This window comes from Homo sapiens, chromosome 12 (assembly GCF_000001405.40).
Source record: "Homo sapiens chromosome 12, GRCh38.p14 Primary Assembly".
NCBI classification, from domain to species: Eukaryota; Metazoa; Chordata; class Mammalia; order Primates; family Hominidae; genus Homo; species Homo sapiens.
In genome coordinates, this window is record NC_000012.12 from 12,047,563 (window position 1) to 12,071,366 (window position 23,804).

The following is a 23,804-nucleotide window of genomic DNA, read 5'->3' on the forward strand; positions in this document are numbered from 1 at the left end:
AAATACCTATTGCGGCTTTCTCTTCTTACTGCAGTAACTCTTACCCACTCCCCCACTCTACCTGCCTCATCCAAGTGAGGGGGAAATGAAAGGAAGAAGAGGAAACAGAGCATTGAAAATGTGTGCCTCTGTGTGTGTCTGTGTGTCTGTGTGTGTCTGCGTTTGTGTCTATCTGTGTCTCTCTGTGTGTCTGTGTCTGTGTATGTGTGTCTGTGTGTATGTCTGTGTATCTCTGTGTGTCTATGTGTGTGCCTGTGTGTGCCTGCGTGTCCGTATATGTATGTGTTTGTCTCTGTGTCTGTGTATCTGTGTGTCTGTGTATCAGTGTGTGTGTGTCTATCAGTGTGTGTGTCTGTGTATCAGTGTCTGTGTGTCTGTTTGTGTATCTGTGTGTCTGTGTATCTGTGTGTGTCTGTGTGTGTGCCTGTGTGTGTCTGTGTATCTGTGTGTCTGTGTGTCTCTGTGTGTGGCTGTGTGTGTCTCTGTGTGTGTGTGTACCTGTATCTGTGTATCTGTGTGTGTGTCTCTGTGTGTGTCTGTGTGTGTGCCTGTGTGTGTCTGTGTATCTGTGTGTCTGTCTCTGTGTGTGGCTGTGTGTGTCTCTGTGTGTGTGTCTGTGTTTCTGTGTGTGTCTGTGTATCTGTGTGTATGTCTGTGTATGTGTGTGTGTGTCTGTGTGTGTCTGCATGTGTGCCTCTGTGTGTGTATCTGTATGTCTGTGTATGTGTCCCTGTGTATGTGTCTCTGTGTATCTGTGTGTCTCTTTGTGTGTGTCTGTGGGTATGTTGTGGAAATCCTTGGAAATCTCCTATTTGTGGGAACTGAATCCCCAGCACTGCCATGTAAATATTTTTCCCTCTCATGGGCCACTGTGGCCATTGTCCATTGTTTCAAAGACCCTACAACAGGATCTGAGTTTCCCTTTGCCAAAAGACAGGTCACAGGGAAGGGAACACAGCTGACCCTTGAACAATGTGGGGTTAGGGATGCTGACCCCCACGTCGTCAAAAATCCGCGTATAACTTTTGATTCCCAAAAAAGGAGTCAGGCTGATGTCTGCCCAATATTCTACTGAACTTAACTACCAAGAGCCTACAGTTGACTGGGAAACCTTGCTGATAACATAGTCAGTTAACTCATATTTCGTGTATGAATTATATAATGTATTCTTACAATAAAGTAAGCCAAAGAAAAGAAAATACTATTAAGAAAATCATGAGGAAGAAAAATATTTCCTCTTCGTTAAGTGCAAGTGGAGTTTCATGAAGGTTTTCATCCTTATTGTCTTCACACTGAGTAGGGTGCGGAGGAGGAAGCGGAGGGGTTATTCTTGCTGTCTCTGGGTGGCAGAGGCAGAAGAGGCGGAGGAAGTAAAAGGGAAGGCAGGAGAGGCAGACACACTCAGTGTAGCTTGTACTGGAAAAAACCTGTGTATAAGTGAACCTGTGCAGTTCAAATCCGTCTTGTTCAAGGGTCAACTCTCTATAACGTCTACAAATGTCCTACCCTGCGCCAGGCTGCCTCTGCCCCAATCTTTATTCCATCTTCTGCCCCATCTCTGACTCTCTTCTCACCTTTACAGTTTTCTAGAGTCCTTGTTCCTTTCCTAGCACGCACCCAGACTTTATGTTATGAGAATCCCTGTCCAAAGCCACTGAGAGCAGTCTCTTTGCCTCCGTATCTTCATTAGTAAAACATGGGTATCAGCAGTGCCCACCTCACAGCGTTGATGTGAGGATGAAGCGACATGACTGATAATGAGTTTACACTGCCCGGTATGCGGTGATTCCTCAATAAATTGCAGGATGTGTTTTTTCTTTTCTTTTAATATGGGGGTAGGGGCTGCCCAGTCTCACTGCAGACAGCTAAAGGAATCGCAGCACCAGGCGCGATGGCTCACGCCTGTAATCCCAACACTTTGGGAGGCCGAGGCGGGTGCATCACGAGGTCAGGAGTTTTGAGACCAACCTGGCAACATGGTGAAAACCCATCTCTACTAAAAATACAAAAATTAGCCGGACCTGGTGGCGAGCGCCTGTAGCCCCAGCTACTCAGGAGGCTGAAGCAAGAGAATCGCTTGAACCCGGGAGGCAGAGGTTGTAGTGAGCCGAGACCGCGCCAATGCACTCCAGCCTGGGCGACAGAGCGAGACTCCATCTAAAAAAAAAAAAAAAAAAAAAAAAAGGAATCCCAGCAATCCAAGGCGGAATTCTAGAAATAGTTTCCCGTAGAAACACCGTTCTACACTGCAGTCTTATTCTATCCCACTATTATTACTCCCAAAGATTCTAAGGTCCCAGTGCTTTCGCTTCATCCTAGAGGCTAAATGGGCTCCCCTGGACTCGCCTGGCAGAACTAACCACCTAGAAGAACGTTATTGTAAGGGGGAAATGTGAGTGCTACATAAGTTTCTTATAAATGTGCTTTTGAAATAGAGTCCACTCTTAAGTTTGATATTTCCTAAAATTTAATGTGTGAAGGAAGATGCTTGGGAGACAATCCGTTTATCAGGCTGATATATGGCAGATAGTCTACTGACCTCCCTGAGCAAGAACCTTAGGAATGAGGCCAGGTGGCAGAAACACTCAGGGCCAAGGGTAGGGAGCAAAACTGTGATGTAAAGAGACCTAGATGGACTTGGGAGGAGGTGGGGTTCAATAGGAGGCCACGACTAATGCCCTGGCATGCAAAGGCTGGACAGGAGTCTTGAAAGAGCCTCAATTAGCTGGGCGTGGTGGCGGGCGCATGTAGTCCCAGCTACTCGGGAGGCTGAGGCAGGAGAATGGCGTGAACCCGAGAGGCGGAGCTTGCAGTGAGCCTAGATTGCGCCACTGCACTCCAACCTGGGCGACAGAGGGAGACACCATCTCAAAAAAAAAAAAAAAAAGAAAAGAAAAGAAAAGAAGAAACAAAGAGCCTCAAAAATATGGAAAACCAGATCCTAAGAGCAAAATGCCAAGGGGGACACTTATTAGTGAGGAGTCTGCAAAAACAGAAAGGTTTTAGCCAGAAGCTTATAGGAGTAGACCTGGAACCCAAATTGAAAAGGAACAGTGCGACCCGTAATTTGAGAAGGAAATAGAATAGGCAGAAGAACTACAGAAACTATAGCTTCGAGTCTAAGAGCCTATTTACAGGGGTGTCCAATCTTTTGGCTTCCCTGGGCCACACTGGAAGAAGAATTGTCTTGGGCCACACATAAAACACACTAACACTAATAGCTGATGAGCTAAAAAAAAAAAAAAAAAAAAGAAAAGAAAAGAAAAGAAAAAAGAATGGCCGTGCATAAATCTCATAATGTTTTAAGAAAGTTTACAAATTTGTGTTGAGCCACATTCAAAGCCATCCTGGGCCTCATGCAGCCCGTGGAAGCTTGCATAAGAGAGAGATTTAGGACCTTTTGGCGGAAGTGCTCGATAAGGATTGAATAGCACCATAAACTGAAGCTAAACTGAAAGGTTTTAGAATTTAACTTAAGACACCTCAAATGCTTTTAGATGAAACTCAGGACTTTTCACTGTAGTAAAGTTCAGCGTGAAATTGACCTTGTAGGGGCACCAGACAGCAGTGAGCAGGGTGTATAAGAGTGAGGGAGGGGTTAATAAATAGAGATGGTGGGAAAAGGAGCTGGCTTTTCGTGAGTTCAGCTTCTTGCAGACTAGACTAGCAAGAGTCAAGAATGAACCTAAGCCAGACTCAGGTCTACTGGGCAGTGCTAGGCCTGTCTCAACCCTGTTTGCACATCAGGTACCCCATGCGTCTGCTGTAGTCTGTAGCTACATGGGAACCTAAAACATCACCGAGGTTTCTAGTGATGTTGAAACTCAGCTAATAAACAGGGAATCCCGAGGGTTCCCCTCTACTCCACTCCTGACAGTGGCCATCCTGCCTCTGCTTGAATACCTTAACTCGCCTCTCATGAGGCACCCATCTCCTCATTAAATGATTGTCACTGGGAAGAATCCGCCCCACACAGCCAGATCAAATTTACCCCCTGGTAACTTTCAGCCCCTGGTCCCCATTCTGCTCTTTAGCACTAGGTAGCTGAATCGAATCTTTCCATGAGAGTCAATTCCATTCCTCCTAAATCTTCTCTCTTCTAAGATAAATAGTCCACATTATACAATCTTAATACCCAATTCAATGAGCACTTCATGATAGTCTAATATATGCAAAGCACCATGCTTGTGCCAAGTGGGACCCTAAAGCGAATATTATCTCCTTGCTCTTTAGGCAAACAGGGTGAAGACAAGAGGCATAGGTGATGGACACTAAAACAAAGACCGTAAGTACTGTAATAGCTACACACAACTTACAATCATATAGGCATGGGGAAAGAGTAGCCCAGCTTACCTTGGAGGATCTGGAAAGGTTCTAAGAAGAAGTGGAATTGAGTTGGAGTTGGAAAGACTTCAACAATCAGATGTGAGAAGGACGTGGGTGGTGAGTGCAAAGAAAATAGGACACGGCTGAGGACCTTGTTTTCTTTTTCTTTTTTGAGGTTTTTTTCTTCTTCCTTTGTTTTTCGTTTTATTTTTATTTTTCATTAACAAGTAGTAATAATACATGTTTATGGAGTACAATTTGATGTTTTGATATAGGTTTACAATGTGGAATGATTAAATCAGGCTAATTAGTAAATCCATCACCTCACAAACTTACCAATTTTTTGCAGTAAAAACATTTAAGATCTACTTTTAGCAATTTTGAAATATACAATGCATTATTACTTATTATAGTTACCATGCTGTGCAATTGATTAGTAAAGCTTATTCCTCTTGTCTAACTGAAACTGTGTAGCCTTTTCCCAACCACCGCTCCACCCCCAGTCCCTGGTAACCACCATTGTACTCTCTACTTCTATGAGATCAACTTTCTCAGATCCTACCTATGAGTGAGATCGTGCAATATTTGTCTTTCTGTGCCTGGCTTATTTCACTTAGCGTAGTGTCCTCCAGATTCATCCATGTTGTCCCAAATCACAGGATTTCACCCCTGTTTAAGGCTGAGTAGTATTCTATTGTGCATATATACCACATTTTCTTTATTCATTCATCTGTTGATGGACACCTAGATTGATTCCATATCTTGGCTATGGTAAATCGTGTTGCAATGAACATGGGAGTTCAGGTGTCTCTTCAACATACTGATTTCAATGCCTTTGGATAAATACCCAGAAGTGGGATTGCTGTATCAGGACCTTGGTTTCTTAGCTTCTGTCTGACCTTGAGCATACCTAAAATAAGAGCCCTGAACGAGATAATTTCTAAAGTTTAGTGATAGAGACCAAAAGGAGTATACGTCTGAGCATTCCAACTTAGGCCAAAGCCTAAAAGTGAGAAGCCTGCCCATATCAAGGGAGTGAGGTGTGTGTTTGGGGCAGGGGTAGTAGAAGAGCAAGACGGTTCATGAATTCAGTATTCTTGTTTCACTGATGCAGCACCCATCACCATTCTGATCAGGTCCCTTGGGGACATGGACAGTGTCCTTAGAATGACAATGATGATGGTACCACCAGCACCACCACCACCATTTCTCTAGCATGTGGGTGAGCCAAACACCTTTGGAAACACCTTACATATTTACATTTACATCCTACTGAATCCTCATAACAGCCCTGTGAGATAGATAGAATTTTTATTATTCTCATTTTACAAATTAGAAAGCTGAGGCACAGAAAGGTTAAATAACTTGCCCAAGTCCATAGGGCTAATCTAATAGCAGAGCTGGGATTTGAAGGCAAGTAGTCTCACTCCCTGCTTTTCTTCCTCGAAAAACACAAGGGCAGGGCTGAACTCAGCTCAGGGGACACAATCTATACCAGGACAAGGTTACAATGGCCCTATAACTTCTTCTTCTTCTTTTTTTTTTTTTTGAGACGAAGTTTCACTCTTGTTGCCCAGGCTGGAGTGCAATGGCGCAATCTCAGCTCACTGCAACCTCCACCTCCCGGGTTCAAGCAATTCTCCTGCCTCAGCCTCCCGAGTAGCTGGGGTTACAGGCATGTGCCACCACACCCGGCTAATTTTGTATTTTTAGTAGAGATGGGGTTTCTCCATGTTGGTTAGGCTGGTCTCGAACTTCCAACCTCAGGTACCCGCCTTGGCCTCCCAAAGTGCTGGGATTACAGGCGTGAGCCACCATGCCCAGCCGGCAATATAACTTCTTTTGCATTCTCATTAACTCAGCCTCAGACGACACTGGCTTCCTTGGAAGCCACTGCATACTGATGATTGAAGTGGAGCTGACAATCACCTAAAAACCCCTAAATGCCTTTGACATGAGCCACTCTTAAGCCAGGTCTCTCCCATTCTGTTCACGTGTGGCTGATCAGTTCAAACTAAATGTTGGGTTTTACGTTGAACCCTATACAATTCTAGGTTTTAGCTTATAGTTTCACCCTACTATAATTTTGAAACATGATATGTTACCTAATGTTACCTCTCCCGGTTTAGTAATAACATAAACAAAAACAGTTGACAGTTATGGGGGCCCTGACTTTGTGCCAGACACCCTGCTACGTATTTGTTTGTTTAATGTAATACCTTATATAATCATTTAGTCTTTACACAAAGTTAAATATTATTATTATTCTCACTTAATAGGATAGGAAACCAAGTCTAGTGAAGTTAAGAAGCTTGCTCAAAATCCAATTAGGGGCTGGGCGCAGTAGCTCATGCCTGTAATCCCAGCTCTTTGGAAGGCCAAGGCAGGTGGATCACCTGAAGTCAGGAGTTCGAGACCAGCCAGGCCAACATGGAGAAACCCCATATCTACTAAAAATACAAAAAATTAGCCAGGCGTGGTGGCAGGTGCCTGTAATCCCAGTTACTTGGGAGGCTGAGGCAGGAGAATTGCTTGAACCCAGGAGGTGGAGGTTGCAGTGAGCCGAGATCATGCCACTGCACTCCAACCTGGGCAACAGAGCAAGACTCCATCTCGAAAAAAAAAAAAAATAAAATCCAATTAGGAAGGGACTGACCCAAGAGTCATACCTAGGATTATCTGACTCCAGGGCCTGAACTTTTATCTATGTTCTCTGCAGCGTCCTCACATCTTCTACACACTTGTTATTATCTAAGTCAATCATGAAAAATGATGAAACAGGCCAGGCGTGTTGGCTCACACCTGTAATCCCAGCACTTTGGGAGGCCGAGGCGGGCAGATCATGAGGTCAGGAGATCGAGACCAGCCTGGCCAACAGGGTGAAACCCCATCTCTACTAAAAATACAAAATGAGCCAGGCGTGGTGGCATGTGCCTGTAGTCCCAGCTACTCGGGAGGCTGAGGCAGGAGAATCGCTTGAACCCAGGAGGCAAAGGTTGCAGTGACCTGAGATCACACCACTGGACTCCAGCCTGGGCGACAGAGCGAGACTCCATCTCAAAAAAAAAAAAAAGAATAAAGAAAAATGATGAAACAGAATCAGGGAGAGAATTCAGAGGAAAATGACATCCCTCCAGGTGTGTATGAACCAATTACTCATAGAGTCATAAACAGTTAGAGAATGAGGCATTTTTCACAAAATATTGAGGGCTGGAGAGGTTGAACAATTTGCTCCCACTCACACATCTAGGAAAGAGAGGAGATGGAAAAGTAAACAATCCAGAAAGGTCAAGGCCCTCATTCCATCAATGCACAATTCAAGTACACATACGTGGGAAACCATCTGAAAAGTTTTGTAATTACAATTTCATCTAGCCAGCAATTCTCCAACTCATTCACATGCATCTCATGACATCGTTGTCAGAAGCCTTGCTAGAGTGAACGTGCACTTCATCAAACACACCCCTGATCCGTGGGAGATGGGATTCGTTTGTGCTGATCTACTCTCCAGGAACACAAGAAACTCACCATTCTAACGGTTCATAAATCATCCATTTAATACCCCAGTTTCAGATTTTGCAGGAATTAACATCAATGCACGGTTTTTGAGACCCGCCAACTTGCTGAAACAGTGCAAGCCACCTGCAGTCCTCGGATACCACTCAGTGATGGCCCTAGGTCTCCCTACTCTGGGCCTGAGATTCACTTACAGCTGCAAAACACACCTGTGCACTCTCCTCATAGGCAGAACGCTTTCACTTCTCAGTCATTTCCAACTGAGACTGTTTTCTCTGGTAGAGAATACAGAAGTCAAATGGACTCAGAGTGGTTCTGCCTTGTCTCTGCCTTCTGTTGTTGAGAATAAACCAGAAAAATCCCTTCTTCTGTCATTAACATTTTCAAGAAGCTCCGTTCAGTCCAGTGCTCTTATTTCAGGCCTATCACACCCTTTCATATTTGTGTTTTCATAGCCACTGACAAAGACTGTGTCCTTGACCAAACTTTAGTCAGGTTCCTCTGAGCCCAATCAGGCCCCATCCTTGGGCATGCCCCCACCCCCAATGTCTGATCACCCTCAAAATCTGATCAAATTCCTCATCCCTCATCATCCCCGAGGCGATGTCTGATCACCCTGCCTGGTCTTCAGCAAAAATCACACTAGGTCAACTTAGCCAGAATCCCCTGACTCCCAATGTTTCCCCTTAGTAATTTTCCACCCACTGACCCCACCTTATTCCTTGGTTACAAATCCCCATTTGCCTCTGCTGCATTCAGAGTTGAGCCCAGTTTCTCTCCCTGACCACAAGACCCTATTGCAGTGGTCCGTCCCTACACCAACTGCGATAGTCCCGGATAAAATCTGCCTTACCCTTTTAACAAGGGTCAAGAGTAAATTTTTCCTTAACATCTCCTGTGGGCACTATTTGTATACATTTAAAGTGAGAGCTTATCCAAGAGCTTCCTTTTTAGCCTGGCAATCAAGTATCCTTTTTGCTTCTTTCTCCCGATCACTCCCTAAACCCCTCATCTATAGTAAGAAGCAGAATCAGAATTTGACTCCAAGACTGTGCCTGAGGAGCCTGAGCCCTAAATACTGTGCTCTATTGTTACCTGTGTTATCTGTAAATAACTGAGCCATTGATTAAAACACAGTTAATAGGCTGGGCACGGTGGCTCACGCTCACTCGTAATCCCAGCACTTTGGGAGGCCAAGGTGGGCGGATCAACTGAGGTCAGGAGTTCGAGACCAGCCTGACCAACATGGTGAAACCCCATCTCTACTAAAATACAAAAGTTAGCTGGGCGTGGTGGTAGGCGCCTGTAATCCCAGCTACTCAGGAGGCTGAGGCAGGAAAATCGCTTAAACCTGGAAGGCCTCGGAGGTTGCAGTGAGCCGAGATTGCGCCACTGCACTCCAGCCTGGACGACAAGAGCGAAACTCCATCTCAAAACAAAAACAAAACACAATCAATAACAGAACCTAGAGATCTCTAGCTAGATGCATCTCAATCAATTAAGCATGCAATCAAAGAGACTGAAGGGGACCTGAGGTCCAGATAATTTAAGTGATTTAACCAACGTTAAAGATTATTTCTTAAGGGGAAAATCATGACTCTCACATGATATAAAAGAACATGTGGCAAATATTTTATTTAACTAATTTAACTGGAGCCAGCAAAATATTAAAACCAGCTCAAAGGAGAAAACTCCAACTACCACACATTTATAGTCAGATAAGAAATACCGAAATAAATTTACAAACAGGCAAAACTGGAAAAACTGGTTAATATCTACAGGACAATAAACAAAGGCATTCCACGGGAGACTATTTGCATTATAATATGCAAGGAATTATTTGCATTACGATCAGTTTTCTATATGTTAACTTCTTTCTAAGGAGTTGTAAAATAGCATAATCAAAAGCAAATAAATAAGCATATCTCTATAAAATCAGATAATCCCCAAAGGCTCTAACATTCCATTGAAAGGATATCCAGTAATCTCTTTGCCCATTGCAAATCTTTCCATTTTTCCCTACGCCAAAGTCAAAAAGCAGTAATAGCAACTCCAGAAAAGAGGTGAAGAGAGCCGGGCTCGGTGGCTCACGCCTGTAATCCCAGCACTTTGGGAGGCCGAGGCGGGTGGATCACCTGAGGTCGGGAGTTCGAGACCAGCCTGACCAACATGGAGAAACCCCTTCTCTACTAAAAATACAAAATTAGCTGGGTGTGGTGACACATGCCTGTAATCCCAGCTACTAGGGAGGCTGAGGCAGAAGAATTGCTTGAACCTGGGAGGCGGATGTTGCAGTGAGCCGAGATCGCACCACTGCACTCCAGCCTGGGCAATAAGAGCAAAACTCCATTAAAAAAAAAAAAAAAGAAGTGAAGAACATCAACAAACTGGGCTGCATCTGAACCATGTGAAGAAGATGGTCAGGTTTAGTGGTTAGCGTCATGGGCCTTAAAGACAGTGCCTGGGCTCCCTCAAATTCCAGCTTTGCCTCATGTGCTCGTGTGACCCTGGGAAATTTTACTTAAGTCTTTTGTGTGTTTGTCTTTTTTTTTTTTTTTTTTTGAGATGGAGTCTCTGTTGCCCAGGCTGGAGGAGTACAGTGGCTCCATCTTGGCTCACTGCAACCTCCCCCTCCTGTGTTCAAGCAATTCTTTTGCCTCGGCCTCCCCGAGTAGCTGGGACTACAGGTGTGTGCCACCACGCCCAGCTAAATTTTTTTGTGTTTTTAGTAGCGACGAGGTTTCACCATGTTGGCCAGGCTGTTCTCCAACTCTTGACCTCAGGTGATCTGCCCGCCTCGGCCTCCCAAAGTGCTGGGATTACAGGCGTGAGTCATTGTGCCCAGACTCTTTTTTTTTTCTTTTTTTTGAGACGGAGTCTCTGTTGCCCAGGCTAGAGTGCAGTGGCATGATGTCGGCTCACTGCAACCTCCGCTTCCCGGGTTCAAGCGATTCTCCTGCCTCAGCCTCCCGAGTAGCTGGGATTACAGTCATGTGCCACCACACTTGGCTAATTTTGTATATTTAGTAGAGACGGGGTTTCAGACGGGGTTGGCCAGGCTGTTCTGTAACATTCTACCACAAAAGAAGTGAAAATGGCCTGTTCCTGCCTTAACTGATGACATTGTCTTGTGAAATTCCTTCTCCTGGCTCATCCTGGCTCAAAAGCTCCCCCACTGAGTACCTTGTGACCCCCACTCCTGCCCGCCAGAGAACCCCCCTTTTTCCTTTACCTACCCAAATCCTATAAAACAGCCCCACCCCATCTCCCTTCACTGACTCTCTTTTCGGACTCAGCCCGCCTGCACCCAGGTGAAATAAACAGCCATGTTGCTCACACAAAGCCTGTTTGGTGGTCTCTTCACACCGACGCGCATGAAATTTGGTGCCATGACTCAGATGGGGGACCTCCCTTGGGAGATCAATCCCCTGTCCTCCCACTCTTTGCTCCGTGAGAAAGATCCACCTATGACCTCAGGTTCTCAGACCAAGCAGCCCAAGAAACATCTCACCAATTTCAAATCCAGTAAGCGGCCTCTTTTTACTCTCTTCTCCAACCTCCCTAACCCTCAGCCTCTTTCTCCTTTCAATCTTGGCGCCACACTTCAATCTCTCCCTTCTTTTAATTTCAGTTCCTTTCATTTTCTGGTAGAGACAAAGGAGACACGTTTTATCCGTAGACCCAAAACTCCGGTGCCGGTCACGGACTGGGAATGCAGCCTTCCCTTAGTGTTTAATCATTGCAAGGACACCTCTCTGATTATTCCCCCACGTTTCAGAGGTGTCAGACCACACAGGGACGCCTGCCTTGGTCCTTCACCCTTAGCGGCAAGTCCCGCTTTTCTGGGGGAGGGGCAAGTACCCCAACCCCTTCTCTCCGTGTCTCTACCCCTTCTCCACCTTTCTGGGGTGCAAGAAACCCCCAACCCCTTATCCTTCACCCTTAGCGGCAAGTCCGGCTTTTCTGGAGGAGAGGCAAGTACCCCAACCTCATATCTCTGCACCCCAATCCCTTATTTCTGCACCCTGACCTCATATCTCTGTGCCCCAATCCCTTATTTCTGCACCCCAACCTCATATCTCTGCTCCCCGATCCCTTATTTCCATGCCCCAACCTCTTATATCTCTGCACCCCATCCCTTATTTCCATGCCCCAACCTCCTATCTCTGTGCCTGACCCCTTCTCTGCTTTTCTGGAGGGCAAGAACCCCCTACCCCTTCTCCGTGTCTCTACTCTTTTCTCTGGGCTTGCCTCCTTCACTATAGGCAAGCTTCCACCTTCCATTCCTCCTTCTTCTTCCTTAGCCTGTGTTCTTAAGAACTTAAAACCTCTTCAACTCTCACCTGACCTAAAATCTAAGTGTCTTATTTTCTTCTGCAATGCCGCTTGACCCCAATACAAACTCCACAGTAGTTCCAAATAGCCAGAAAACAGCACTTTCAATTTTTCCATCCTACAAGATCTAAATAATGCTTGTCGTAAAATAGGCAAATGGTCTGAGATGCCTGATGTCCAGGCATTCTTTTACACATCCGTCCCTCTCTAGTCTCTGTTCCCAATGCAACTCATCACAAATCTTCCTTCTTTCCCTCCCACCTGTCCCCTCAGTCCCAACCCCAAGCGTCGCCGAGTCTTTCTAATCTTCCTTTTCTACAGACCCATCTGACCTCTCTCCTCCTCGCCAGGCCGAGCTAGGTCGCAATTCTTCCTCAGCCTCTGCTCCTCCACCCTATAATCCTTTTATCACCTCCCCTCCTCACACCCGGTCCGGCTTACAGTTTCGTTCCATGACTAGCCCTCCCCCTCCTGCCCAGCAATTTACTCTTGAAAAGGTGGCTGGAGCTAAATTAAAGTTAATGCTCCTTTTTCTTTATCCCAAATCAGATAGCGTTTAGGCTCTTTTTCATCAAATATAAAAAACCCAGCCCAGTTCATGGCTCGTTCGGCAGCAACCCTGAGACACTTTACAGCCCTAGACCCTAAAAGGTCAAAAGGCCGTCTTATTCTCAAAATACATTTTATTACCCAATCTGCTCCCGACATTAAATAAAACTCCAAAAATTAAATTCCGGCCCTCAAACCCCACAACAGGATTTAATTAACCTCGCCTTCAAGGTGTACAATAATAGAAAAAAGTTGCAATTCCTTGCCTTCACTGTGAGACAAACCCCAGCCACATCTCCAGCACACAAGAACTTCCAAAGGCCTAAACCTCAGCGTCCAGGCGTTCCTCCAGAACCTCCTCCCCGAGGAGCTTGCTACAAGTGCCAGAAATCTGACCACCAGGCCAAGGAATGCCTGCAGCCCAGGATTCCTCCTAAGCCGTGTCCCATCTGTGCGGGACCCCACTGGAAATCAGACTGTTCAACTCACCTGGCAGCCACTCCCAGAGCCCCTGGAACTCTGGCCGAAGGCTCTCTGACTGACTCCTTCTCAGCTTAGCGGCTGAAGACTGACGCTGCCCGATAGCTTCGGAAGTCCCGTAGACCATCACAGATGCCGAGCTTTAGGTAACTCTCACAGTGGAGGGTAAGCCCGTCCCCTTCTTAATCAATACGGAGGCTACCCACTCCACATTACCTTCTTTTCAAGGGCCTGTTTCCCTTGCCTCCATAACTGTTGTGGGTATTGATGGCCAGGCTTCTAAACCTCTTAAAACTCCCCAACTCTAGTGCCAACTTAGACAATACTCTTTTAAGCACTCCTTTTTAGTTATCCCCACCTGCCCAGTTCCCTTATTAGACTGAGACACTTTAACTAAATTATCTGCTTCCCTGACTATTCCTGGGCTACAGCCACACCTAATTACCACCTTTTCCCTCAGTTCAAAGCCTCCTTCACATCCTCCCCTTGTATCTCCCCACCTTAACCCACAAGTATAAGATACCTCTACTCCCTCCTTGGCGACCAATCACACACCCCTTACCATCTCATTAAAACCTAATCACCCTTACTCCGCTCAATGCCAAGATCCCATCCCACAGCACGCTTTAAAAGGATTAAAGCCTGTTGTCACTCGCCTGCTACAGCATGGCCTTTTAAAGCCTATAAACTCTCCTTACAATTCCCCCATCTTACCTGTCCTAGAACAAGACAAGCCTTACAAGTTAGTTCAGGATCTATGCCTTATCAACCAAATTGTTTTGCCTATCCACCCCGTGGTGCCAAACCCATATACTCTCCTATCCTCAATACGTCCCTCCACAACCCATTATTCTGTTCTGGATCTCAAACATGCTTTCTTTACTATTCCTTTGCACCCTTCATCCTAGCCTCTCTTCGCTGTCACCTGGACTGACCCTGACACCCATCAGGCTCAGCAAATTACCTGGGCTGTACTGCCGGAAGGCTTCACAGACAGCCCCCATTACTTCAGTCAAGCCCAAATTTCTTCCTCATCTGTTACCTATCTCAGCATAATTCTCATAAAAACACACGTGCTCTCCCTGCTGATCGTGTCCGATTAATCTCCCAAACCTCAATCCCTTATAAAACAACAACTCCTTTCCTTCCTAGGCATGGTTAGTGCAGTCCGAATTCTTACACAAGAGCCAGGACCGCACCCTGTAACCTTTCTATGCAAACAACTTGACCTTACTGTTTTAGCCTAGCCCTCATGTCTCCGTGCAGTGGCTGCTGCCGCCCTAATACTTTTAGAGGCCCTCAAAATCACAAACTATGCTCAACTTACTCTCTACATTTCTCATAACTTCCAAAATCTATTTTCTTCCTCATACCTGATGCATATACTTTCTGCTCCCCGGCTCCTTCAGCTGTACTCACTCTTTGTTAAGTCCCACAATTACCATTGTTCCTGGCCCGGACTTCAATCTGGCCTCCCACATTATTCCTGATACCACACCTGACCCCCATGACTGTATCTCTCTGATCCACCTGACACTCACCCCATTTCCCCATATTTCCTTCTTTCCTGTTCCTCACCCTGATCACGCTTGATTTATTGATGGCGGTTCCACCAGGCCTAATTGCCACACACCAGCAAAGGCAGGCTATACTATAGTACAAGCCACTAGCCCGCCTCTTAGAACCTCTCATTTCCTTTCCATCGTGGAAATCTATCCTCAAGGAAATAACTTCTCAGTGTTCCATCTGCTATTCTACTACTCCTCAGGGATTATTCAGGTCCCCTCCCTTCCCTACACATCAAGCTTGAGGATTTACCCCCACCCAGGACTGGCAAATTAACTTTACTCAACATGCCCTGAGTCAGATAACTAAAATACCTCTTAGTCTAGGTAGACACTTTCACTAGATAGGAAGAGGCCTTTCCTACAGGGTCTGAGAAGGCCACCGCAGTCATTTCTTCCCTTCAGTCAGACATAATTCCTCAGTTTAGCCTTCCCACCTCTATACAGTCTGATAACAGACGAGCCTTTATTAGTCAAATCAGCCAAGCAGTTTTTCAGGCTCTTAGTATTCAGTGAAACCTTTATATCCATTACAGTCCTCAGTCTTCAGGAAAAGTAGAACAGACTAAAGGTCTTTTAAAAACACACCTCACCAAGCTCAGCCACCAACTTAAAAAGGACTGAACAATACTTTTACCACTTTCGCTTCTCAGAATTCAGGCCTGTCCTCAGAATGCTACAAGGTACAGCCCATTTGAGCTCCCATATAGATGCTCCTTTTTATTAGGCCCCAGTCTCATTCCAGACAGCAGACCAACTTAGACTGTGCCCCAAAAAACTTGTCATCCCTACTATCTTCTGTCTAGTCATACTCCTATTCACCATTCTCAACTAATCATACATGCCCTGCTCTTGTTTACACTGCCAGTTTACACTGTTTCTCCAAGCCATCACAGCTGATATCTCCTGGTGCTATCCCCAAACTGCCACTCTTAACTCTTGAAGTAAATAAATAATCTTTGCTGGCAGGACTATGCTGAATCTCCTTAGGCACTCTTTAATCAGATGTCCTAGGTCCTCCCAATTCTTAGACCTTTTATACCTGTTTTTCTCCTTTTCTTATTCCGTTTAGTTTTTCAATTCATACAAAACTATATCCAGGCCATCACCAATAATTCTAAATGACAAATGTTTCTTCTAACAGCCCCACAATATCACCCCTTACCACAAAATCTTCCTTCAGCTTAATCTCTCCCACTCTAGGTTCCCACGCCACCCCAATCCCACTCGAAGCAGCCCTGAGAAACATCGCCCATTATCTCTCCATACCACCCCCAAAAATTTTCGCTGTCCCAACACTTTACCACTATTTCGTTTTATTTTTCTTATTAATATAAGAAGACAGGAATGTCAGGCCTCTGAGCCCAAGCTAAGCCATCATATCCCCGTGACCTGCACGTACACATCCAGATGGCCAGTTCCTGCCTTAACTGATGACATTCCACCACAAAAGACGTGAAAATGGCCTGTTCCTGCCTTAACTGATGACATTGTCTTGTGAAATTCCTTCTCCTGGCTCATCCTGGCTCAAAAGCTCCCCCACTGAGTACCTTGTGACCCCCACTCGTGCCCGCCAGAGAACAACCCCCCTTCTTCCTTTACCTACCCAAATCCTGTAAAACCCCATCTCCCTTCGCTGACTCTCTTTTCAGACTCAGCCCGCCTGCACCCAGGTGAAATAAACACCCATGTTGCTCACACAAAGCCTGTTTAGTAGTCTCTTCACATGGACATGCATGAAACTGACCTCAAGTAATCCACCTGCCTCAGCCTCCCAAAGTGCTGGGATTACAGGCATGAGCCACCACGTGTGGCCTGTTTGTTTTTTGAGACAGTTCTGTCACCCAGGCTGGAGTGCAGTGGTTTGATCACTGCAGCCTTGAACTCCTGGGCTCAAGTGATCCTCCCACCTCAGCCTCCAGAGTATGGGACTACAGGCATGCAGTACCATACCTGGCTAATTTTTTTGATTTTTTTTTTCTTTTTTTGTAGAGATGGGGCCTCACTATGTTACCCAGGCTAGTCTCAAACACCTGGCCTCATGCAATCTGCTTCCCAAAAGCACACCCAAAAGGTGTGAGCTACCATATCCCACCTACTTAACTCTTTTGTATCTCAGTTTCTTCATATGTAAAATGGGCATAACTGTCGTGCCTACTACACAGCTGAGTTAATAATTGGCATGGACTCAGTAAAATAAGAACTATTATTGTTAGGCCTCTTTGGAGCCATGGCCACAACAGCATGCCTATCTTTACTCTAAAAATTTTGCCCAACTAGGCTCAGAATTCTCTCTCAACCATCTCCAATTTTACAGTAAAATGAACATTCTGTCTCCAAGGTTCCCATTGCTTCTATGAGACCAACCAGTGCCTCTTTGTCAGCCAAATGCAAGGATAGAACAATGTTTATCACCGTGGCTTCCTTTGACTTAAGAGATGGTATTAGCAGCAAGTGTGAAATGACCTATGTTTATCAGGAGTCTTCCATGGAAGTCATGGTAGTCAGATCTCCTATCACGATTACCTCCTGCCTTGGTGCAGGGCGTGATCTCTGTACTAAGAACGTCTTTCTCCATCTCATCTCTGGCCAGGCCAGTTATAGCAACACAGCACTATCACTTCAATCCTTCTATTATTTTGTCTTCACTCAAACCACAGATAAGAGGATCTTCCTACAGGTATAGGGGAGAAGAAAATTTATTTTTCCTCTACCCTCCTAGGTTTTTTGGCTGGGGCCCTGCAAATTAGACTGACGAAAGATAGATTAACAAAAGAAAAACAGACAGAAGTTTATTATTAACACATGCATACACACAGGATCGCTCAATGATGAGTGACTCAAAGGAGTGGTCAGAAATTGGGCTTATAGAGCACCTTTTAAAAAAATATAAATTTGTAAAAAAGTGACAAGACAGGCCGGGTGCAGTGAGTGGCTCACGCATATAATCTCAGCACTTTGGGAGGCCGAGGCAGGCGGATCACTTGAAGTCAGGAGTTTGAGACCAGCCTGGCCAGCATGGAGAAACCCTGTCTCTACTAAAAACACAAAAATTAGCTGGGCATGATGGCGTGCACCTGTAATCTAAGTGACTCTGGAGACTGAGGCAGGAGAATCGCTTGAACCGGGGAGGCGGAGGTTGCAGTGAGCAGAGATTGCACCACTGCACTCCAGGCTGGGCGACAGAGTGAGACTCCATCTCAAAAAAAAAAAAAAAGAAGAAGAAGTGACAAGACAAAGGGAAAGAGCTTTAGGCTTCTGGAGGTGGCAAACTGTGGGAAGGTAAGTAGATGGGAAAAGTAATGGAAGATAAAGATTGCCTTAGTGAGGTTGGTTATGTAGGTTCCTCCAGCGCCATCTCTGGGCTGCTTAAGAGTCCAGAGTTGTCTCCAGCGACTGAGAATCTTCCTGTCCTCCCTGGTAGGGAGACATGGGGAGCAGAGAGTTTCTCTTTGTTTCTATTTTTTTTTTTTTTTGAGGCGAAGTCTCGCTCTGTTGCCCAGGCTGGAGTGCAGTGGCACAATCTTGGCTCACTGCAACCTCTGCCACCCAGGTTCAAGCGTTCTCCTGCCTCAGCCTCCTGAGTAGCTGAGATTACAGGCACCCACCACCATGCCCAGCTAATTTTTGTATTTTTAGTAGAGATGGGGTTTCGCCATGATGACCAGGCTGGTCTTGAACTCCTGACCTCAGATGATCCACCCACCTCGGCCTCCCAAAGTGTTGGAATTACAGGCGTGAGCCACCGCACCTGGCCGAGAGTTTTTCTTGTGTCTGCTTCATCTTCATTGCCTTCAGCTCAAAATGATCTTAAGGTTAAAGTGTTGTACTTTGGGGAGTGGCATGTTGACCCCTTCACAGATGTTCTTCATAATGAATAGTGCTTCTCCTCTGCTCCGTTTCCCAAATCTTTCATTTCAACCAGTCACAGCCTTTTATTGCTCCATTCCAACTCTGATCCTATTTCATTGAGTTTCATCATTGATATCAAAACAAGGATAAATGTCAAACCCCAGAGTAATCTGGTGTCCACTCTAAAATCTGCTCATCTGGCCTTTCAAGTCTTCTTTGGTTACTCAGTGATGGGCAAAAACCCCAACGTTTTCCTGAGGATGGGCTTTTTATCTATATTATTCAAACTCTTAGGCATTTTTATCTAAGATATATTTCCAGTGATGATATAAATCAATTCCAGAATCATAGATTAAAGTGAATTCAAAGCATATATAACAATTTCAAAAATATTCATACCCAATAATTCCACTCTCAGGCATCATTTCTCAGGAAACAATAGAAAATGTGAGCAAAGATGAAAAGCTCTACCCTGCAGCATTATTTGTAACAGTAAGCACTTGAAGACAAACAAAACATTATTATTATTATTTTTTTTTTTTTTTTTTGAGACAGAGTCTCGCTCTGTCGCCCAGGCTGGAGTGGCGCAATCTCGGCTCACTGCAAGCTCCGCCTCCCGGGTTCACGCCATTCTCCTGCCTCAGCCTCCTGAGTAGCTGGGACTACAGGCGCCCACCACCATGTCTAGCTAATTTTTTGTATTTTTAGTAGAGACGGGGTTTCGCTGTGTTAGCCAGGATGGTCTCGATCTCCTGACCTCGTGATCTACCTGCCTTGGCCTCCCAAAGTGCTGGGATTACAAGCATGAGCCACCGCACCTGGTGACAAACAAAACATTTAAAAATAGTTGGCTGGCTGATTATTTGATTTGATTTGATTTTTATTTTGATTTTTTTGGAGACTGAGTCTCGCTCTGTCACCCAGGCTGGAGTGCAGTGGTGTGATCCCAGCTCACTGCAACCTCTGCCTCCTGGGTTCAAGTGATTCTCCTCTGGATGAATATTTTTAGTGCTATCATTCACTGGAATGATGTCGCCACTAAAAAATTTTATTTACAAAATAAGTTTATTAGAAGTTATGATGGCTGGACGTGGTGGCTCACACCTGTAATCCCAGCACTTTTGGGAGGCTGAGGCAGACAAATATCTTGAGCTCAGGAGTTGGAGACCAGTCTGGCCAACATAGTGAAACCCCGTCTTTATTAAAAATACAAAAATGAGCCAGGCGTGGTGGCACATGCCTGTAATTGCAACTACTCTGGAGACTGAGGTGGGAGAATAGCTTGAACCCGGGAGGCAGAGGTTGCAGTGAGCCGAGATCGTGCCACTGCACTCCAGCCTGGGGAACAGAGTGAGACTCTGTCTGAAGAAAAAAAAAGAATCATCCTGACTTTCCTTATAGAGAGGGGGAGGGCAGAGAGTTTGTCCTGTGTCTCCTTTTTCTCAAAGAAAAGAAGGGACGTCCACCAAATTTTTAGCAGCATTTCCCACTGAATGACTGCATTATGGCAATCCTTATTATGACCCTGTTTTACGAGTTTTCTACAACAGCATGTCTATGTTTACAATCGGGAGAAAAGTGGTTTTTGCTTTTGCTGTTTAATATCTAACATGTGTTGTGACCTGTCCCTGGCCAACTTGTTAGGCGTGGAGATAACATAGTTGAATGAGAGGTGGACAGTTGCTCTCCTCAGCTTCCGTGTGGGGTTTGCCCCTTCCCTGTGTTAATAGTTGCTTTACCAAAACCTTTCAGGACTTTTTTTTTTTGAGACAGGGTCTGGCTCTGTCACCCAGGCTGAGTGCAGTGGTGCCATCATGGCTCATTGCAGCCTCAAGCCCCCGGCCCCCTGCCAGGCTCAAGCAATCCTCCCGCCTCAGTCTCCTGAGTAGCTGAGACTACAGGTGTGCTCCACCACGCCCAGCTAACTTTTTATTTTTTTGTAGTGATGGGGTTATCACCATGTTGCCCAGGCTGGTTTCAAACTCCAGGACACAGTCTGTCCTCCTGCCTCAGCCTCCCAAAGCGCTGGGATTGCAGGTATGAGCCACTGTGCATGACCAAGACTCTTCAGGATCCTAAATGGTTTCAGCAACAAACATTGTTTAGTTATGTAACTCAGAACTCCAGTATGGACATACTATGTGATGTGATTTTATTATTGCTTATATGCTTTTGTGGTTTTATTGTTTGTTTTTCTGTTTGTTTGTTTTGAGACAGGGTTTTTGTTTTTGTTTTGAGACAGGGTCTTACTCTGTCACCCAGGCTAAACTACAATAGCATGATCCTAGCTTGCTGCCCCCTTGAACTCCTAGGCTCAAGCAATCTTTCTGTCTCAGACTACCAAGTAGCTAGGACTACAGGCATGTGCCACCATGCTATGTTGTCTGGCTGGTGTTGAATACCTGGTCTCCAGTGATCCTCCCACCTCAGCCCCCTGAGTAGCTAGCACTACATGCGTGAGTCATGCCTGGCTAATTAAAAAAAAAAAAATTAAGAGATGGGGTCTTACTATCACAGCGTGAATCCCAAAATTGGGGTTCAGTCTGGGAGGCCACATGGGTTCTTGGCTTCCCACAAGAAGGAATTCAAGAGTGAGCCAACAAAGTAAAATGAAAGCAAGGTTATTAAGCAAGTTAAGGAATAAAAGGGGGGCTACTCCATAGGCAGAGCAGTGGCATGGGCTGTTTGATTGAGTATACGGGTATTCCTTGATCATATGCTAAACAAAAAGTGAATTATTCGTGAGTTTTCTGGGAAAAAGGTGGGGAGTTCCCAGAACTGAGGGTTTTCCCATTTCAGACAATATAGGGTAACTTCCAGACATTGCCATAACATTTGTAAACTGACATGGGGCTGGTAGGAGCGAGTGTCTTTTAGCACAACAGTGCATTATCATTGGCATATAATGAGCTGTGAGGACGACCGGAGGTTGCTTTCATCGCATCTTGGTTTTGATAGATTTGGGCTGCTGCTTTACTACATGTCATTTTATCAGTGGTGTCTTTGTGACCTGTACCTTGCAAACCAGTCCTGAAGAACTCTTGTCTCATCACTGTGTTGTCCAGGCTGGTCTTCAAGTGATCCTCCTGGCTTCAGAGTGATCCTCTCACCTCAGCATCCCAAAATGCTGGGCTTGCAGGCTTGAGACACTGAGCCAGACCCTGTTTATTCTTGAATTGTTTCCAGTGAATATATCTCATCGTCTCCCCCCAAAAAAAGGTTGCAAGTTTTTGGCCAGGCGCGGTGGCTCACGCCTGTAATCCCAGCACTTTGGGAGGTGGAGGCGGGCAGATCGGGAGGTCAGGAGATCGAGGCCATCCTGGCTAACACGGTGAAACCCCGTCTCTACTAAAAATACAAAAAAAAAAAAAAATTATCCAGGCTTGGTGGCGGGCGCCTGTAGTCCCAGCTACTTGGGAGGCTGAGGCAGGAGAATGGCGTGAACCCAGGAGGTGGAGCTTGCAGTGAGCCAAGATCGCACCACTGCACTCCAGCCTGGGCGACAGAGCAAGACTCCGTCTCAAAAAAAAAAAAAAAAAGGTGGCAAGTTTTTATAAAAAGAGAAAAATCATTCTTAGTATTTCTTTAATACCCTCTACATTGACCTCACTGGTGCAAAAAATATTAGTTTGCTGGTGAAAATTCACCTCGAGTTACTAAATATCTAACTTTCCCATAACTACCATCTGTTTGTCTCTTGTGGATCTGTTTGCCTAATATTTAAATGACCCATTCTTCCCCACTTTTACGAAAATAGCATTAATTCCCCTTTCACTATTCACACTTCCTTCATCGTCACAGTTTGACCAGCGGTCCAGGGTTTATGATCTCAAGCATGGCCATATATATCTATTTCACTTAAGACTCTGGAAAGAGCATAAAATCAGATGTAACTGTTTCCTATTTCATATAATAGGGAATTCCATCTCTAAAGTTATGACATTTGGCCTTTCAGTGGGTTTTTGTGGTTTTTACTATGGCTGTGCTTAGATTCCTTTTTGAACACTTTTCCAGTGGTTCCACTTGAACACAATCTTTGAGTCACATAGGAGAGGTGACATGATAGAGTGTAAAGCCAGAAAGAGCACGATTTGGATCTCAGCTCAACTGATAGGGATCCGTAGCAAGATACTTCACCTCTCTGAGCCTCAGTTTCCTCATCTGTGCAATGGGAATCGTAACGCCTGCCTCTCAATGTTGTTAAGATTAAATATGTTGGCCGGGCGCAGTGGCTTACGCCTGTAATCCCAGCACTTTGGGAGGCCGAGGAGGGCAGACCACCTGAGGCCAGGAGTTCGAGACCAACATGGTGAAACCCCTGTCTCTACTAAAAATACAAAAATTAGCCAGGCGTGCTGGTGCAAGCCTGTAATCCCAGAAACTCAGGAGGCTGAGATATGAGAATCGCTTGAACCCAGGAGGCGGAGGTTGCAGTGCGCCAAGATCGCACCACTGCACTCCAGCCTGGGCAACAGAGTGAAACTCTGTCTCAAAAAAAAAAAAAAGATTAAATATGTGTACAGTACCTGTACCATGTTAGGCGGTCAGTAAACATTTGTTTAACTAACAACTGATAAGGATAGTAAAGAAGTATCAGAACACCCACCTAGTTATCCCAAAGGGCAGGAAGAGTGCTAGGTAATGGATATAGAATTCCTTTTAGAGTCAAATTACACGGGCAAAGATCAGCCCCTCCTTCAATTAAAAAGCCAGGGGCAGGGCGTAATAAGGAAGTGGTTCTCCTTCTTTAAGCCTCTTTTCAGGCTGAGTCCTAAACCTGAAGAAAGTTTAGAGCCTGGGGCTCTAAACTACCTGAGTCTTTCCAAACGACAAGCCAAGAAGACCTGTTGAAAGTTTCCTCTTAAGTTTCGTGGAGAGAGACTCAGGTATAGAAATATCCTTACTGCCACCTGACCTGAAGCAGAAGAAATCACAGACAGCTTCCAGACCAGGTAACACCAGGAGGCACCAGTCTTCATCCTCAGCCTTTGCAGGAGGACACAGCCTGGTCTTTAGCTGTTTGCCAAATGAGGCAGTCTAATTCAGGGAGCTCTTTACTGGGTTTATTACAAAGTTCTTATCATGTAAGTCTCAGGACACAAAATGACATTGAGAATCTAGTTTAGCGGGGTTTCCAGGAAAGACGAAGAAAGGTTATTTAGGTTTCTCTTTCATTTCTCT

At 45.3% G+C, this 23,804-nt stretch overlaps 1 protein-coding gene across 3 annotated transcripts in view, besides 5 other annotated features; it reads left to right on the forward strand.

Moving 5' to 3' along the window:
• Window positions 2,299–23,804, forward strand: part of BCL2L14 (BCL2 like 14) — a 49,835-nt gene continuing 28,329 nt past the window's right edge. For 2 of the 3 annotated variants that reach the window (NM_001370269.1, NM_001370268.1), the window contains exons 1-2: window positions 2,299–2,392; window positions 4,234–4,285. The gene's annotated coding sequence lies outside the window, so the exon portion shown is untranslated. Of the gene's footprint in view, window positions 2,393–4,233; window positions 4,286–23,376; window positions 23,576–23,804 lie in introns of those variants that run through there. The other variant, NM_138723.2, reaches the window with a different exon arrangement.
• Window positions 9,911–10,576: an enhancer, noted in NCBI's record as "NANOG-H3K27ac hESC enhancer chr12:12210407-12211072 (GRCh37/hg19 assembly coordinates)". NCBI's record gives its function as "activates a minimal SCP1, AML or CMV promoter by ChIP-STARR-seq in naive H9 embryonic stem cells {active_cell/tissue: H9 hESC(naive)}" and the evidence as "EXISTENCE:reporter gene assay evidence [ECO:0000049][PMID:30033119]".
• Window positions 10,577–11,240: an enhancer, noted in NCBI's record as "NANOG-H3K27ac hESC enhancer chr12:12211073-12211736 (GRCh37/hg19 assembly coordinates)". NCBI's record gives its function as "activates a minimal SCP1, AML or CMV promoter by ChIP-STARR-seq in naive H9 embryonic stem cells {active_cell/tissue: H9 hESC(naive)}" and the evidence as "EXISTENCE:reporter gene assay evidence [ECO:0000049][PMID:30033119]".
• Window positions 15,948–16,496: an enhancer, noted in NCBI's record as "OCT4-NANOG hESC enhancer chr12:12216444-12216992 (GRCh37/hg19 assembly coordinates)". NCBI's record gives its function as "activates a minimal SCP1, AML or CMV promoter by ChIP-STARR-seq in naive H9 embryonic stem cells {active_cell/tissue: H9 hESC(naive)}" and the evidence as "EXISTENCE:reporter gene assay evidence [ECO:0000049][PMID:30033119]".
• Window positions 22,035–22,214: a silencer, noted in NCBI's record as "fragment chr12:12222531-12222710 (GRCh37/hg19 assembly coordinates)". NCBI's record gives its function as "represses an EF-1alpha promoter that drives an FKBP-Casp9 reporter gene in an ReSE screen in K562 erythroleukemia cells {active_cell/tissue: K562}" and the evidence as "EXISTENCE:reporter gene assay evidence [ECO:0000049][PMID:32094911]".
• Window positions 23,584–23,673: an enhancer, noted in NCBI's record as "active region_6009". NCBI's record gives its function as "activates an Ori minimal core promoter by ATAC-STARR-seq in GM12878 lymphoblastoid cells {active_cell/tissue: GM12878}" and the evidence as "EXISTENCE:reporter gene assay evidence [ECO:0000049][PMID:35858748]".